The sequence below is a fragment of the Homo sapiens genome, chromosome 15 (assembly GCF_000001405.40).
Source record: "Homo sapiens chromosome 15, GRCh38.p14 Primary Assembly".
Classification (NCBI taxonomy): Eukaryota; Metazoa; Chordata; class Mammalia; order Primates; family Hominidae; genus Homo; species Homo sapiens.
This window is the reverse complement of record NC_000015.10, coordinates 61,962,681-61,981,230: the sequence shown is the minus strand read 5'-3', so window position 1 is coordinate 61,981,230 and position 18,550 is coordinate 61,962,681. Positions and strand designations below refer to the sequence as shown.

At 33.4% G+C, this 18,550-nt stretch overlaps 1 protein-coding gene across 9 annotated transcripts in view; it reads left to right on the top strand.

Moving 5' to 3' along the window:
- VPS13C (vacuolar protein sorting 13 homolog C) overlaps positions 1-18,550 on the top strand; it is a 208,059-nt gene that overhangs the window by 79,217 nt on the left and 110,292 nt on the right. For all 9 annotated transcript variants that reach the window (XR_007064464.1, NM_017684.5, NM_020821.3 and 6 more), the window contains 11 exons: positions 2,482-2,605; positions 4,032-4,149; positions 6,814-6,943; positions 7,699-7,777; positions 8,467-8,606; positions 11,779-11,932; positions 13,784-13,863; positions 15,089-15,148; positions 16,370-16,532; positions 17,280-17,396; positions 18,379-18,482. Coding sequence is in view for 8 of the 9 variants with exons in the window: in NM_017684.5 (NP_060154.3) it covers positions 2,482-2,605; positions 4,032-4,149; positions 6,814-6,943; positions 7,699-7,777; positions 8,467-8,606; positions 11,779-11,932; positions 13,784-13,863; positions 15,089-15,148; positions 16,370-16,532; positions 17,280-17,396; positions 18,379-18,482 (1,269 nt within the window). In the remaining variant the exon portion in view is untranslated. The remainder of the gene's footprint in view (positions 1-2,481; positions 2,606-4,031; positions 4,150-6,813; positions 6,944-7,698; positions 7,778-8,466; positions 8,607-11,778; positions 11,933-13,783; positions 13,864-15,088; positions 15,149-16,369; positions 16,533-17,279; positions 17,397-18,378; positions 18,483-18,550) is intronic.

Below are 18,550 nucleotides of genomic sequence, written 5' to 3'. Positions count from 1 at the left end.
TTTTTTAGCCTGTGTTTCAAGCCTTGCTTGGAGTATTTTATATATGTTTTATGACTATTAAAACAAAAAACCTCCAAATTTTCTGTAGTGGTAGGGTGATTTGACAGTAAGGACTGGATTACATCTGCCTTTTCCTAATTAGAAAGAAGCATTCGTAGTTTTCATAGTTTCCAGGGCTTAATTATACAGTGTTATTTGTTGCTTATAAATTTGACAATAGGAAATTGTACATATATGAATGTATATTTGTTAAACCACTGTCAGTAACTAAGTAGAGCAAGACAACTTTTGGATTTTGGATTTTGAATCTCATAGAAAGCCAAGCCTCCAGTAAAAGGTGACAATTTCAAATATATGAGGGGACTTTGAAGTTTGTGGAAAAATGGAATTAAAAGATAAAAATAAAAAAACATAAACTTTGTTTCTCAATTTAAGATCCATCAAGTCCAAGACACTTTTGTAAGTGATGATACCAGCCATTTAGTCCATCTCTCAAGGATTGAGGGTCCTGGGAATTTAATCATGTCATTGTAGTCTTTTCTACATTACTAACTGAAGAAAAATAGGTACTGTTTATAGATTTTTTTTTTTTTAAGATTAGGAAACCAAAAAAAGTTAGAAGAAGCCAAATTAGGACTGTAAGTTGGGCGCCTAATGATTTCTCATAGGAAATCTTATACAACTGCCCTCATTTGATAAGAGGAAGGAGCAGAAGAAGCATTGTCGTGGTGAAGAAGGACTCTCTGGTGAAGTTTTCCTGGGTGTCTTTCTGCTAAAACTTTGGCTGACTTTGTCAGAACACTCTCACAATAAGCGGATGCTATCGTTCTTTGGGCCTCCAGAAAGTCAACAGGCAGAATGCCTGGAGCATCCCCAAAAACTGTTGCCATGACCTTTGCTCTTGACTAGTCTGCTTTTGCTTTGACTGGATCATTTTGACATCATGGTAACCATTGTTTTAATTGTGATTTGTCCTTAAGATGGTACTGGGAAAGCCATGTTTCATCTCTCTCTCTCTTTTTTTTTTTTTTTTTTTTTTTTTTTTTTGAGATGGGGTCTTGCTCTGTCACCCAGGCTGGAGTGCAGTGGTGCAGTCTCTGCTCACTGCAACCTTTGCCTCCTGGGTTCAAGTGATTTTCCTGCCTCAGCCTCACAAGTATCTGGGATTACAGGCACGCACCCCCACACCTGGATAATTTTTGTATTTTTAGTAGAGACGGGGTTTCACCATGTTGGCCTGGCTGGTCTCGAACTCCTGACCTCAAGTGATCCGCTCACCTTGGCCTCCCAAAGTGCTGGGATTACAGACGTGAGCCATCTCACCCAGCCCATATTTCATCTCTTATTATAATTCTTTGAAGAAATGCTTCTGATCTTGATCCCACACTTGTTTTTAAAATTTCCATTGAAAGCTCTACCCTTGTCTGTAGCTGATTTGAGCGCACTTGTTTTGGCTTCTGTTGATTAAAAAGTTTGCTCAGCTTTAATTTTTCAGTCAGAATTGTGTAAGCTGAATCAGTTGAAATGTCTCTGGTGTTGACTATTGTTTCTGCTGTTAATCATCGGTCCTCTTCAATTAGGGAATGAACAAGATTAAGTTTTTCTTCGCAAATTGATGTGGTCTGCCACTGTGGGCTTCATCTTCAAAATTGTCTTGACCTTTCTTAAAATTAGTTATCTATTTGTAAACTGCTAATTTCTTTGGGGCACTGTTCCCATACATTTTTCATAAAGCATTACTGATTTCACCATTCTTTCACCCAAGCTTCAGCATAAATTTGGTATTTGTTTTTGCCTCAATTTTAGCAGAATTCATGTTGCTATTATGGGGGGGCCATTTTCAAACTGAAGCCTTAATCTTCTTAGTGACTCAAACTAGATCCTGTTCAGTCATGTTATAAAAAGTTAGTACAAGTTTCTTTTGGTACAAAACAGTTTTGAAATTCATGCATAGCTTTTTCATAATGGGCATTTTCCATCAACTTTTTGAAGATCCCTTGTATACTCCTGAATTGATCCTTGCTTCCACCAGGAAGGGGGAAAAGGCAGTACAAATTGGAGCTGAATTATAGTGGCCTAATTTTATTCCTGTGGTATAGTGCGGAGAAGGAACAAAACGCTGCTATCTAATGGTGAAGGGTGTAGGGTGGGGGTCAGGGGAGCTGGACTCTAAGTGGCAATAATTCCTGAGAGCCAGGAAGAGGAGGAGTTGTACATCTAGACAAGTTATTCGAGGCAGACAGCTCAAACATGAAAATGTGCTGAACACCTATTTCTCAACTTTAGTAGAGATGTATGCTGAAATATTATATTGTTTACAAATAATTATCTGAAAATTAAAATGTTTATTCATTAAGAGCAGTATTTTCAATTTGTTAGGTTTTAACTAACTAAATGCAAGACTGAAACCTAACTAAAGTATGTTGATGTATGTGCTTTTCTGTTTTGGAAAAAAAAATTGAAATTTGTCCTTCATTTTAGCTCAACAGTAAAGATCAAGGTTTACAGAAGACTACTAATTCATCTCTGGAAGAAATAATGGATAAGGCATATGACAAGTTTGATGTTGAAATAAAAAATGTACAACTACTTTTTGCAAGAGCAGGTAAACCGTTATTCAGCTTTTAGGATCTTGGGATTATGATGGGTAGTTTGTGTAATATACGTGTATATATGTGTGCCTATATATCAACCCTGACAACCATTTTGCACACATATTCTTTTGGCTGCTTAAATAAACCATGTAGGACACTATCAGTGTAAATTACTACAACATTTATAAATAGAAATGGAAATTTGGCTAGTCATCTTAAGATACCTAGCTCCATTTCAATCTAAGCCTATTCATAGCCTATGTTTTTGTAATGTGACTATAAAACTGCTTAGAACACAAAATGGAAGTTGCAGTGGATTCATGTTTTTCTGTCTTACCGCTTTTGGGATGACTCAATATTATTTTCCTTGCTGCCTTCATTATCAAATATTATACTATATTAGCCTAGTCTTTATTTCAATAGTATTACTAGTATTATGCTGTCTACTTTTGTAGATATCTGAGAAGTATGTATCTACAGAATAGTAGATATAGTCTTAATATATTAAAGATAATTAACTTAATTATTTTCCAAAAGCTTTGGTGTTTTTCTATGCTTACGTAAATATTTTTGTTTTTTTAAAGACTTACTTAGTTTCTAGAAGCAATACATATTTATTAATTATCCTTGATCATAGTATCACGTTGTGGTAGGTCATTAGAGGAAAGGACAGTTATAGTCTCTATGTGCAGAGTTTATACTCTAGTAGGAGTGTTGAGATTTATTAAAACGTAAATACATAATGCTCTACTTACTTTTCATATATTAAGAGCCTGTTAATTCCTTGGAGTATTTACACAGACCATTAAAACTGCCTTTTCTTTTGTATTTACTTAAGAATAATTGGATTATAAGTGATAAAAGATTTTCAGTCATTGTCATCAATAAACATAGAACTCTATTAGTTGTTGGAAAATCTGTTTTTGGGACCTTATTTGAAGAAAAGTGATTATTATACATTTTTGGTCATGAAATTTTGTTTGATAAAACTCTGCTTTGCTTTGGAATTGTATGCCAAGCTGGGTGTAAATATTGTACTTAGGAACCCCATACTTCTTTTTCTTTTTTCTTGTTTTTCCTCCTCTTTTCACTGTAATTATCAACCTTAGTCACTAATTCTGGAATTGAGGTAATAGATCCTGGGCTTTGTTTTTCCTGTTTACTTTGAAATGCAAGATGTTATGTGAACATTCTCCAAATAGAATTATTTTATATCACAGTCTTTGATCCTGTCAGTCTGTATTTAAAAAGCATAGGTTATTTAACTGATACGCTGAAAGAAGTGAAAATTGGTAATCATTGATTCTGGATTAATTTATAGTGATTTTCCATAGAATGTCTGACAATTTAAAATAATATTCATTAAAAATAATATTTATCCATGTTCCATGGCTGTTTGTAAAAATAATAAATAATATCTTAAATTATTTTTTAAAGAGGAAACCTGGAAAAAGTGTCGATTTCAGCATCCATCAACTATGCATATATTGCAACCCATGGATATTCATGTTGAGTTGGCTAAGGCCATGGTAGAAAAAGACATTAGAATGGCCAGGTAATGTATAAACTTCTTTTATATTAGAAAATCAACAGGTGAAATATGTCTGCATCAGTTGCTAGAATTTAAGGAAGCAAAGATAGATTTCTGTGGGAGACAGCAAAAATGATTATTCCAATTTGCAGCAGAAATACATTTTTAAGAAAATGTATATTTGAATTATACATCAACACTTATTTCAGAAATATTTGGACTTTTACATTCTGTAAAAGTTGATGGTTCATGTTTTTGAATGAATCGAATCCAATGCTTAATATCAACAAAATAAAATCTTCGAACACATTAGAGGCTCTTTTGATAATGAAATCCCATATAATCCTGAGAAAAATCAAAGGACATAAAAATAGAAAATTAATTTTGAATTTAAGTAGACAGTTATGAAATGTTTATACTGTTTTTAAAAAACAGCTATATTGAAATATAATTGATGTTCAATAAGCTGCATCCATTTAAAGTTTACAGTTTGATAAATATTGCCTTAGCTATATAGCCGTGAAACCATCATCATGGTTAAGACAATGAACACACCATCTCCAAAAGTGTCCTTGTTCCCCCTTTGTATTCCTTTCTTTCCTTCCCTACTTAAATTTCTCTTCCCCCAGTCCCTGGACAACATTGGTCTGCTTTCTGACACTATAGATTTGTTAGAATTTTCTAGAATTTTATATAAATAGAATGTTAGACTTTTAACTTTTTTGTTTAACATCTTTAATTCAACATAATTAATTTAAGATTCATTCATGTTGTATGTATCAGTTTATTGATACCCTTTATTCAGCATAATTAATTTGAGATTCATTCATGTTGTATGTATCAGTCGTTCACTGATACCCTTTATCAGGTGGATGTTAAACCAACTTTTCATTACCGATTAACCTCACTTGGTAATGATGAACATCCCTAATCCAAAGACCAAAAATTTGAAATGCTCCAAAATTTGAAACTTTTTGAGAGTCAACATGATGACACATGTGGAAAATTCTGCACATAAGTTCTTAACACAAGCTTCGTTTCTTGCACAAAATTATTAAAAATTTTGTATAAAATTACCTTCAAACTGTGTGTACAAGGTATGAATGAAACATAAATCAGTTTCATGTTTAGACTTGGGTCCTATCTGCAGGATATCTCATTATGTAATACAAATATTCCCAAATCTTAAATACTTCTTGCCCCATTTCTGATACTCAACCCATATGTATTATTTTTAAAAATATTTTTGGACTTGTTTTGCCAAAATTTTGTTACAAAGTTTTATATTTGTGTTAGTGAGGGATATTGGTCTTTGCTTTTCTTGTTTTGGTATCAGGATAATGATGTTGGCCTCATGCATTGAGTTTTCTGGAAGATACTGTGTAGAACTAGTATTATTTCTTCCTAAAATGCTAGGTAGAATTCACCAGTAAAGTCGTCTGGTCCTGGAGTTTTCATTTTGAGAGGTATTTAACTACAAATTCATGTTTTTTCATAGATATAGGGCTAGATTATCTATTCTTCTGTATGATCTGTATGTTCCAAGTGTTTTGAGTTTGTGTGTTTTAAGGAATTTGTCCATCTTAGTTGTTGAATGTATTGGCATAAAACTGTTCATAATGCTTTCCTCTTACCTATTTAATACACGAAGAATCTGTAGTGATGTTATTTCTTTTAGTCCTGATGTTAGTAATTTGTGCCTTTTCTATTTTTCTCCTGATCACTGTGATCAGAGGTTTATCAATTTTGTTGATCTTCTGGGAGAACCAGCTATTGGTTTCCATTATCTTCTCTCTTTTGATTCTTTTTTTTCCTGATTTCCTCTCTGATATTTATTATTTCTTTCTTTTACTTACTTTGGATTTCGTTTGCTTTTCAGTCCTAGTTTCTTAAGGTAGAAGCTGAGGTCACTGATTTGAGACCTTAGTTTTTTTCCAATATAGGCATTTAGTGCTTTATATTTCCCTCTCTACAGTGCTTTACTGTACCCCAGTGTGGCATCCAGCAATTAGGCATCTGTCAGCTTGAGCTGTTCACAGCTTAGTCAGGAAGCCAAAGATAAACAACAACAGCTAGAAAGAGCTTTATGACTAGCTGCCACAAGGCTATTGAGACAAATAAACCTGAGGCAATTACATTGAGTAGGGAAACAGAATAGAAGCACCTGCCAAAAAGTAAGCAACTGATAAAAGCACAGTGGTGATTCGTAGTGAGTAAAACAGATGTCCTCATGGAGCTGACATTTTAATCAGAGGAGACATAAACAAATATAAATGTGATATGTCAGGTGCTGCCAAGTGCTATATATAGAAAGAAATAAAGCAAGGCAATGGGATAGAAAGTGATGAGGTTAAATACTCTTTGATGTTTATAATAAGAATCTTTGATACCAGGAAGTAGTGTTTTGGTTTTGAAAGGTAGAGAATTGTGTTTGGAAAGATTTTCCTAAAAATTAGTTAAGTTAAAGAGATTTGGCTACTTAAGAGGGATATGTTGAAATTATCTGAAAACTTAGCTAACATAGAACTTCCCATTTCCTGACAATGTTGTCTAAATGAGGCATTAGTGTAATTAGATTAAAACATGTCAAAAGTTTAGGCATGTTTTAATCTAATTACATTAATGCAATTCTTTCCCTCGTTTGTAATGTAGAGATGCTGACTTAAAACCACTGAATTGTATTTTTAGATTTAAAGTGTCAGGAGGACTTCCTTTGATGCATGTGAGAATTTCTGACCAGAAGATGAAAGATGTGCTATATTTGATGAACAGTATACCTTTGCCACAGAAATCATCAGCCCAGTCTCCAGAGAGACAGGTAAATAGATACAATAAAATGTATAACCCTATTTTTATTGTTTTAGAGCAGTGATGAAAAGTCAGTTTCAGGGCAAGGTTTATAAGTGAAAGGACCAAAAGTACAGAAATGAAAGTAAAATGTCTTTCAAATTTATAATGTGTTTTAAATAAAGCTAGAGGGGAAAAAAACTAACAAAAACCTTCTTTAGAATCTTGCAAATAAAACAATTGATATAAAATTTTCTTATATGTTAGGCTTATAAGTTCTAGATCACTTTAATTGAAATTGATCTTTACACAGTAGAAATTTTGGATATCTACTTTGAAATGAAATTTGATAAAGCCAGCTCATGGTGATACCATGTGCCAAGGCTTTACACAGTAGAAATGTTGGATTTCTACTTTGAAATGAAATTTGATAAAGCCAGCTCATGATGATACCCTGTGCCAAGGACCTATAAAAAAGATGTACTTTAATATTGTAATAGACAGAATGTAAATGATATACAGTAATAATAGACTAACTTACTAGAGCTGGGCTTAGTTTTGCCCTTGTAGATGTGGGTGGTAGACTTAATAATTTGTAAATTCTAGCCAATTATTAGTTGATTACACAATATATCTTGTTGGAAGATTTGTATATTGTGTTATATTGTGTGTATGTGTCTTTCCATATCTCTTTATCCTCTATTACTTTTTAGTCTTCCTCTCATTTATGACATTTAATCCTGCTAAGTCATCCTTTTTAAGAAAACTTTTTGTATTCTTTGCTAGGTATCCTCAATTCCTATTATTTCAGGTGGTACAAAAGGTCTACTTGGTACTTCACTATTGCTAGACACTGTGGAATCAGGTAAGGAAAGTAAAATACTCTTTCTCTATTAAATTAAGCCTATACATTGTTATACAGAGATAACATTTTCAGAAAATAAGGGCAGTCTGAAAGTGCTGTAGTAATTTACTGGTTTTAGTTCTAGTTGTGCTACATTAGTGTGACTCTGAGTCTCTTATCCCCTTTAAGCCCAAGTTTCTGTCTTCGTTGGACAAATGAAGGGTTTTTTTTTGTAGTTGACAATGCTTACTTAAGATTCTAAATAAACTACTTTTTTTGGCCCCAATCTCTACATGAGCTTTTCTCTAACTTTGACCTAATTGATCTGTTTTAATTTTGAACTAGAATGTAAGCTTCATCAGGACAGGACCATGTCTATCGTGGTCATTCTGGTATCCTTACTGGCTGGCACAGCCTGATACGTGGTAGATAATGCCCAATAAATATTTTGTTGAATATTGAGTGAATGAACTATAGGGAAAAACAGAACCATTGAAGAAAAGAACATAGTGCTATTTGATTTCAAATGTGATTATTACATGGCAGGTTGAGTCACTTGGTAGAAGTTTAAAAAAGGCAGCTATTCTGATGCTGAATATGAAGATTATATCTAATAAATGAATTTCACTTTTTAGAGATTTAGATTTGAGTGTTTCATGCAGTTTTCAATGTACATTGTCTCAGATCAAATAAATGTCTTTTTCCTTTAGAGTCTGATGATGAGTATTTTGATGCTGAAGATGGAGAACCACAGACTTGTAAAAGTATGAAAGGATCAGAACTTAAAAAAGCTGCAGAGGTCCCAAATGAGGAGCTCATCAATCTTCTACTCAAGTTTGAAATTAAAGAAGTATGTGCTTTTTTGTCTATAAATAGATATATTCTGGCTGTCACTATCTTGTAAGCTATCCTCAAGCTAGACCCAAATGTCAAGTATATTAAAAATGTGGTACTCTGTCTTTCCTGCTGCCCAACACACATGCACATACACACTCTCACACACACTCTTTCTCTCTCACACACACAGAGATTTTTAACAATGAAATGCTTTTAAAAAAACTGATGTAAGAATGATCTGTGGCATATCTAATTTATTCTGGAAGAGCTTAGACTTTTAATTAGAACTTACTTTTCTGCAGAAAATTTTTATGACATGCCTACTTTAATTTTTTAAACTTTTCACTTTTAAGCTAAATAATATTGCTCATTATCATGTTTATGATTTGGAAAAATGTAAACAACCTAAATTTCCAACATACGTTTACAGCCTTTAAAAGTCATGTGGTAAAAGGAAACATGGAGAGATGTTCACGGTATGTCATTATTTGGGAAAACAAAAAGATTATAATACCAAAGATATTATGATTCCATATGAAGTTATATTTATATGTTTTCTTTGATAAATGACAGACAGTGTTCATCTCTGGGTGGTGAGATTACAGGTTTTTATACATGCCTGCTTACTTTTACATGTATTCCAGATTTCTATAAAAAATTTGTCTTGCTTTGATAATAAAACAAAAAGGATAGAAAATGGAGGTGTTCCTTATTGACTGTTTCATGTGCCATAGTGAGAGCATGTCCTAAAATATAATGTCAGAAATACTACATTTTAACTGTGTGTACACACCTAAGTACTATTGGTATTTGTTTAGAGAAAGGTATGTTCTTTACTGTTAGCCTTCTTCAACTTCTCTCTTTCTCCATACTACATCCAAAATATCATTAAATCCCATGACCCTAAATTCAAAATGCATTCAGATGATTGCTCTTCCTTTCTGCTGCTACTGTACTGTCTAAGTCACTGTAATCTTCTTCCCTGGATTATTTTGCAATAGCCTCTTAACTGTCTTTGCTTCCATCAGGTACTCTGTTCTGTCATTTGCCAGATTGATCCTTTAAGAGTGAATGTCAGGCCGGGCATGGTGGCTCACGCCTGTAATCCCAGCACTTTGGGAGCCCGAGGTGGGTGGATCATCTGAGGTCAGGAGTTCAAGACCAGCCTGGGCAACACGGTGAAACCCCATCTCTACTAAAAATACAAAATTAGCTAGGCGTGGTGGTGGGCACCTGTAATCCCAGCTGCTCGGGAGGCTGAGGCAGGAGAATTGCTTGAACCTGGGAGGTAAAGGTTGCAGTGAGCTGAGAGTGCACCACTGCACTCCAGCCTAGGTGACAGAGCAAGACTTTGTCTCTAAAATAAAATAAAGTAAAATAAAAATAAAAGGGAATGTCAGATCATGTTACTACTCTGCTCAGTATCCTCCACTGACTTCAAATGTCACTAAAAGTAAAGGACTAAGTCCTTTCCATGGCCTACAAGGCCTTACATTTGTAACACCTCATATGACTGGCCAGTTCTTTCCTGCCTTGCTCACTCTGCTTCAGCCATATTCCATCTATCCCTTCAATAGGTATTGATCATGTGCCATTATTACCAGACATTATTTTAGGTACTGGAAAATAGCAGTGAGTTAAGTTCTTGCCGCATGGAGCTTACACTTGTCTTATGTTTTTCCTTCTGTATACCAAAGCACATTCTTTGTGCTTGCTATTTCCTTTGCCTGGAACACTCTTTTCCTGCATGGCTTGATTTTTTTTTTTTTTTTTTTTTTAAACTAACTTCAGGTATTTGTTCAATTGTCATCTTATTGGAAAGATCTGACCACCCAAGACAAGACAGCAACCTTCATTTTCTCCAACTTTCCCTAGAATGTAAACTTCATGGTGATAAAGAATGTCTTAATTTGTTTTCTGTTACTATAACAGAATACCCCAGCCTCCCAAGAGGCTGAGATTACAGGCACATACCACCACACCCAGCTAATGTTTTACATTTTTTGTGGAGATTCGGTTTTACTATGTTGCCCAGGCTGGTCTTGAACTCTCGGGCTCAAGTGATCCGCCTGCCTTGGCCTCCCAAAGTGCTGGGATTACAGGCATGAGCCACCGCACTTGGCCTCTTCTTTAAGTATTTTTAAAGTGTTACCTAAGTATGTAATTATAACATCTGCTAATAATAATATTTTTTGCCTTTTTTCAGTATTTATATTATTCTGGTTATTATTGCTGCCTATCAAGTTAAATAGCTTAAAACAACTATTTTATTTTGCTTACAGGTTTGTGGGTTAGGAAGTTTGGAAGGGCTCACCTGGGTAATTTTGTGCATAGTCTTTCATTCGGTTGCATTCTGATGTTGACTGGGGTTGCAGTCATCTGAAGCCTCAAGCTGGATGTCCATGTGGCTCACTTATGAGGCTTGCAATTGATACTGGCTATTGGCTGGGAGCTAGCTGGGACTATTGACTGAAACACCTACTTATGGCCTCTCAGCATGGTAAAAGCCGTGGTAGTCTGAGTAGTTGAACTTTTTACATGGTGGCTGGCTTCCCCCAGTATGAGTGTTCCCAGGTAGGAGTTTCGTGGTCTTTTATGACACCGGAAGTCCTTATAGTATCAGTTCCTTTCTACTATATTGATTTAAGCATTCACAAGCCTGCCCATATTCAAAGGGTGGAGACAAAGATCTACACCTTTTGATTAGAATATCAAAAGCACTTACATCTTTTAAAAATTACCACGTTTTATTTTTTATTGGCTAAATATACAGGCTATAATTTCCAGAGTTAACTTAAATAGTAGTATGATAGAGAACATCTTGTCTTACTTTCTACTTTAATGGGGATACTTTAAAAAAAATTACTAAACATGATTTTTGCTTTGAAATACAGGTTTAAGAAAATCATATTTAGGAAGAATCTATACATTCCTATTTTACTAAATTAGAAAAAGTAAACAATGAAGTTAAATTCTGTCATGATTTTTTTATAAATGTATTTATATTCTCAACAATAGAATTTAAGTTTTGTAATTTCCAATTATATTAAATTGCTATGGTGGCAGAAGGATATGAGCAAAGTTACTATTCTCATGGTGATGTGTATGGAGAAAGATTTTGTTTTCATTATTTTAAGTATGATTCAGACTTCTTATCAACTTTTCATTGACTCTAATTCTTTTAGGTGATTTTGGAATTTACTAAACAGCAGAAAGAAGAAGATACAATTCTAGTATTTAATGTTACTCAGTTAGGAACAGAGGCCACAATGAGAACATTTGACTTAACTGTGGTATCTTATTTAAAGAAAATCAGCTTGGATTATCATGAAATTGAAGGTAATACCCATAAAAATAGAAATAATAGCCTATAATAAAGATAGGACTTTTGAGTATCTGAAACACTTTCATTTATATTGTATTTATAATAAATAATAGCTACACTGTTGTAAGCACTTTACAAGTAATAACTCATTTAATCCTTATAGCAGTGCTATGGGGTAGGCAGTGTTATAATCTATGGTTTAAATGTAAGTAAACTAAGTCACAGACTGATTGTATTAATATAATTTACTAATTGTCACAGGGCTAGTAATTGACTGAACCATGATTAAAACCCTGGAAATGTGGCCCTAGGGTCTGTGCTCTTAATTAATATTACCTTTTGCCTCAGAGAGTCTCTAAAAATCCCCTTGATATGGGGAATATTATTCCTGTTTTATAAACAAAGGCTAAATAAAGATTAAGTGGCTTACTGAATATCCTGTATTTAATGAATGACAAAACTTAAGAGTTTATCTCTGATCATATGTTATTGAAGGCCTTGTTCTTTCTATTAAATAGTATTCATATACCACAAGAAACACCAGATTATAAAAATAAAAATGATAGGATGTAAAGTTAGTTCTTTCAGAAACTCTGATTGTCATATACCACAAGAAACACCAGGTTATAAAAATAAAAATGATAGGATGTAAAGTTAGTTCTTTCAGAAACTCTGATTGTTTATTCATTTCAGTGTATATATTGTTTGCTCAGGTATTTGAGGCATGTAGGAATGGACAAATCTACAGTAATTAAAATTCCCTAATATTTCCCTAATGCTTTAGTCAAATGCAGTCGTCCCTTGGTACCTGTGGGGCATTGATTCTGGGACTTCTGTGGGTACCAAAATCCATGGTGCTCAAGTTCCTTATATAAAATGGCATTGTATTTTCATATAACCTATGCATAGCCTTCCATATACTTTAAATCTCTAGATTACTTCTAATACCTAATACATTGTAAATGTAAAAGAGTTGTTACACCATGTTGATTTTAAAAATTTTTGTATTTTTAATTTTTTATTGTTTTTAATTTTTTTTAATATTTCAATCTGAAGTTGGTTTATACTATGGGTTGGAATCCTTGGTTACAGAACACTGACTGTATAAAGACCTATGTTTTATAACTTTTTAATAGTTGAAACTAAAACAAATCTCAATTTAGAAGAAAAATATTTTATGTGTTAGTAATTTCTATAGGACCTGTGTTAAGATAAGGTTTACATTATTGTCTTGAGGGAAAAATATAAATAATAATTTTTCTAGGCTATTTTTTCCTTTAGTGAAGGTTATGCCCTTGGAAGTCAAGGGAAAATTTTAAGCTCTCTCAGAAGCAAGAGTTAAAAGAATTGCAAATAACAAAAGATGGATAAAATGGTGGACAAATTACTTCTCCTTCCACAGCTTTTGGAGGCAGTTCCTTGGTACATCTACCTCAGGATATAAAGGACATCTGGTAGTACCTGTTGTTTTTAAGTTAAAAAGGAGTTTAACAGTTCTCTCTTAAGGAAAAAAAACAAAAACAAAGCTTTCCTCTTTTAAGTCACCTCTCACAGTTTAAACAAAAGGAAATTATTTAAATTTCTTTAATAGAAGTAAAATAAATTATTTGTCAGAATTTTAGAAGTCACCTGTGAAATCAGGTGAAAATAAATATGCATGTTTTTAAGTAAGTTGGATGTCAGAGGTAACAATTTGGATTGGTTAATTTCTTCAACAGTGATGGCCTTTGTATTTAATAGCTATGACAATATGCAAAGATTTTCTTTTAAAGCTTAATTAACAAATTTTTAAAAATCTAAAATGTTTCAAATTACAAAAGAGCAATTTATTTGAAACACTTTTTTTTCCTTTTTCTTTAATCTAGGATCCAAAAGGAAGCCCCTTCACTTGATTAGCTCTTCTGACAAACCTGGATTAGATCTTTTGAAAGTGGAGTATATTAAGGTAAGGGCTATAGAATGATTATATATTTATTGTTTACTCCAAACTATTTCTCTGGAAGGAAGAATATGACAGTAAGTTACTAATGGCTCTGGATGTGTATCACAGTTTCTAATTAGAGGGAAATCTGTTTCTTTTTTCATTTGTACACCTTCTTTTCTTTCACTTAAGTACGGGGCTATTATTATACAAAGTCACTAAACTTCTTGTTCCCAGAGATGGAAGCCTGGGATGAAGTAGGTACCATTTGTCTTCTAGGGCATACCCACATACCTGTACTGATTATAGGTCATATATAGGTGACATTTGGCTGAGTATCCTGCATCAAAAAGGATAAAGTCATATTAAATTGGGTTCAGAAGACAAATGCCATGAATAGGAAGGGCCACGAAAATATTTCGTATGAGAAACACTGAAGGAACTGATGGTATTTAGCTGCCTTCAAGATGAATCGATTTGTTTAATCAGTCAGCAGCTATTTATTGAATACTTCTGGATGTGTTTTTGGATGTCTGTACTGTTAGGCGCTTGGGATACAGAAATGAAAAACATTCCCTGTTCTCAAGAAAATTGTAGACGAGTAGGGAGATAACACAAGTAAATAATGATTAGAATATAATGTGATTGATTCCCTAATAAAGAAAAGCACAAAGCATTATTGGAACAGAGGGGCAGGGAAATTGGCAAGGCCAGAAGACTTCTCACAGGAGGTAAATCTTTGAGTTTGAATTTGTTTATGTTCCCAAGGGATAGAAAGAACTAGGACCAATGGTTAGTTATGATGGGAGACAGATTTTTGACTCAATGTGAAGACCTCATTAAATAAAAGCTTTCTAAAGATTAGTTTTGTAAAGAAACAAGGTTTCTTTTACTGGAGATATAAAAAAATGTAGACTTGCTGACGACTTTATGGAGGGATTTAAGCATTAGGGGATAGATGGGCTACGTGACTGTGACACCTTACAACCTTCAGAGTTTGTCATTCTGATTCTTAGCTACAGTTTCCCAGAAATGAATATTCTCCCATGTTTGAAGAGGAGAACACATTTGCACTATTATAATAAATACATTATTTGGATGTAAATTTAAAATAATGGCAATAAAATTAAATATACAGTGTATATAAAATACATTTATAACTATAAATAAATTAACCAGAGATAATAAATAAGTGATTTATTTACTTCGATCCTAGTACCTTCTTTAGAACTTTTACTTCTTTTTTCAGGCTGATAAGAATGGACCTAGTTTTCAAACTGCTTTTGGAAAAACTGAACAAACAGTTAAGGTAAGAAATTCTGTTAAAGGAATTTATCCTGTTTGAAAATAACCTAGTCTCAAAGCCTCTAGTATCCTTTGAGGAGTATTGACTAGGTAATTTGATGACATAATCAAGGACCAATAAGAGTTATAAATAACCTCATCGATACTTACCATGCTCTGTGTTTATGATTCAGCTTAGTAAAGCTGTTTTGTTATATCACATCCTAGCGTCCTTAAAAGTTTCAGTATTATTTCTAAATTAGGGAATGCTGTAGACAAAAGAACTTTGATGTACAAAGAACTAAAAGGTTTCTAAACTAGCCAAACTAGATACCATTGTTTGATGTACAGGTGAAAAAGTGTATAAAATATAAGGAGACATGTTGAGCACTTTTGAAGTCAAAGCACTACTTACGTAGTAGCTTAGAGTAAGAGGGGCAAAATGTACTTATGGGTAACTAAAAAGAAAAGGAGAGAGGCGAGTTTTAGCTCACACTTTTTTGAGAGATGGGGAAATCTGTTTTAATATTGTGAACCTTTTATTGTTTTTATATCCATTTAGTGTTATGAGAAAATGAAAAGAAATTCATTTTTATAAACAGAGCTTTTTATTTTATATTAATTTGCTATTAGAAAACTACCCATTCTTGAAATCAATTTGTATTGCTATTTTAGCTTCCTAGAGTGATTGCTTTAAAAAAAGTAGTACTTTTCCCCTACAAGTTCTATATTGTGTTTCTTTTTAAATGATAACACCATTATTGTGATTTGAAAAGGTCACTTAGTAACCCATTCATAATTGTCCTTTTTATATTTAAATTTCACGGATGCCACCTTTGAAGTCATTTCTAGACATAGTAGTAGCACATGGTGGTTCTGGGATTTCGCCTTTTGACTTATAATTTTATATAATCATAATTGTCCATTGAAGATCCAAGAAGCCGTCTGTATGTTGAATATCAGCATAGCCATGAGAAGCAGAGTATAGACTTCATAACCATTATGCTTTGGAAATGGAGTAATTAGGTTACTGTAATATTCTGATGTACCCCTGAAGTGTATAAGTGTAATTTTTCTCTGTATATTCCCTTTTTAAGGGGATTGTGAATCTTCCACTTTTTACTCTTCCTTCAGAGTGGTGGAAAGCAATGATGTAAGCCCACCTGAGAATCTTTTGGGTCTGTCGTGGAGACTACAGGTTATAATTGGCTGTGGAAAACTAATTTTCTCTTTAAAACATTTTTAGGTGGCCTTTTCATCTTTAAATCTGTTGCTGCAAACACAAGCTCTTGTCGCTTCTATTAATTACCTCACAACCATTATTCCATCTGATGATCAAAGCATAAGTGTTGCTAAGGAGGTACAAATTTCAACTGAAAAACAACAAAAAAATTCAACTCTGCCAAAAGGTATGAAACATACATTTTTGTTTTTTGTTAGCAAGGGTTTTAGAATTCTAAAGCTAAATGAGGAATACTAGAGACTATCTGACTCAGTCATTTAAATACCATTTTCCCCTTTTCTTCAAATTAAATTATATGCGAGCACCTGATGTATAAGGCAAATGTAATCAATACTGTTGTTTTTAAAAATGTTTCTTTTAGTTCTTATTTTGGTGGTGGTGTAGGAAGCCCTTAGGTAGGTAATAGGGGGAGAAGATCTGTATTTATACTGAGCTCTTCCTCCCCGCTCAGTGGCTCCTGAAGGGGCTTTATAAAGAGTTAGTCTTTCTTTCCATTTTACACATAAGGAAATTAAGGCTCAGAGACACAAAGGTAGGGAAGGGTTCAGGAGTAGCATCTAATTGGCCAAGAGCCCAGATTTTGGATCAGGAAGAACTCAGTTCACATCCTGATTTTGCTACTTCAACCATGTAACCTTAGACACATTATTTAACTTTTCTGAGGTTCAGTGTCCTTATTTATTTATTGTAGTTTTTTCTCTTGCTTTTAAATTATAAAAGTAATATCTCACTATTAAAAATGCAAACTTTACAGAATATATAAAGCAAAAAAAGTGTTTGAATCTTTAAGAGTTGGAGAATGTTATAATTTTTTTTAACATAACAGTGGTTCACTTAATATAGCGAATAAACCTTAAAAGAATGTAGATGACTAGAATCTCACCATGTGACAGATGCTTTGTTTTATTTTTAGCGATTGTATCCTCCAGAGATAGTGACATTATTGATTTCAGGCTATTTGCCAAGTTGAATGCTTTCTGTGTCATTGTTTGCAACGAAAAGAACAATATCGCCGAAATCAAGATTCAAGGTAAAAGTTCACACGGCATTGAAAATTGGCGAAAAGATAAACTTTTCCTTCTTTTTGTCTCTTTGCAATGCTAAAGAATGTACAAATAAAGGGCTCTAAGCTGTGAAACCTGAAAAGACGTAATTGGATTGTATGCTTCCTCTATTTGGGATATAGATATTGGTCAGAATCTGACCATCCCAATTGACCTCTACACATATCCTGGTGTTTGGGACCTTCCTGAGAGTTATCTAGGAAGTGGAAAAGGGATACTGATGTCAATGTAGGAATGCTATTGATGGGCTAGGAGAAGTGTCAGTCTAGATTTTAGGTGAAGGTCTGTGGACGTGCTTTCTAGTAACTTTTTAATCTTTTTTTTTTACCTTCATATGATTTTTATATATAATTATGTATTTGTCTTTATTTGTCTTTCCTTATGAAAAGCAATCTTATAATGGTGACAATATCTATGAGCCCATTATGTTCTTTTAGGTAAAAGCTGCCAAAACTCATCTAGCTTTTCCTCTGGCTTACTTTTACTAGCTTGTTGTGACCTGGTAGAGGTCAAGAATATGTTGAATATGTTTAATGAAATTTTTTAAGAACTTAAAAACTAGAAAACTAGGGGCTTTTTTCCTTTGTCCTTTCCAAACTGGCAGCGCATCTACTAGTCTGAATTTGATTTGTGAAACTTTTATAGTTTCCATGTAAATGACTGGATATAAGGTATAAAGGATAATTTACTTAAATCCTGAGATAATCTATTTGTACTAGATGTATTTCTTCCCCTGATTGAAAAGTCACATAATCATTGTTTAATGAATTTATAGGTTTTGGTGTTTATAAAACCAAAAAACTCTAATATTGCAACTTATTTATCCATTGGGAGTTGAAACATTGCTAAATTTAAAAAAGTCACCCCAAAATAAAATAATGTAATGGAAAGAAAGATCTTATTTATGGTAGGTCTGTAGAAATTATAATAATACACTCTTTTTTTCAGGACTGGATTCCTCCCTTTCTCTCCAGTCAAGAAAGCAGTCACTTTTTGCCCGACTAGAAAATATTATTGTCACAGATGTTGATCCAAAGACAGTTCATAAGAAAGTAGGTGATTGTAAACAGATAGTTAATATTCTTTAATGACTGAATATGAGCTTCTATTGTAAAATGTA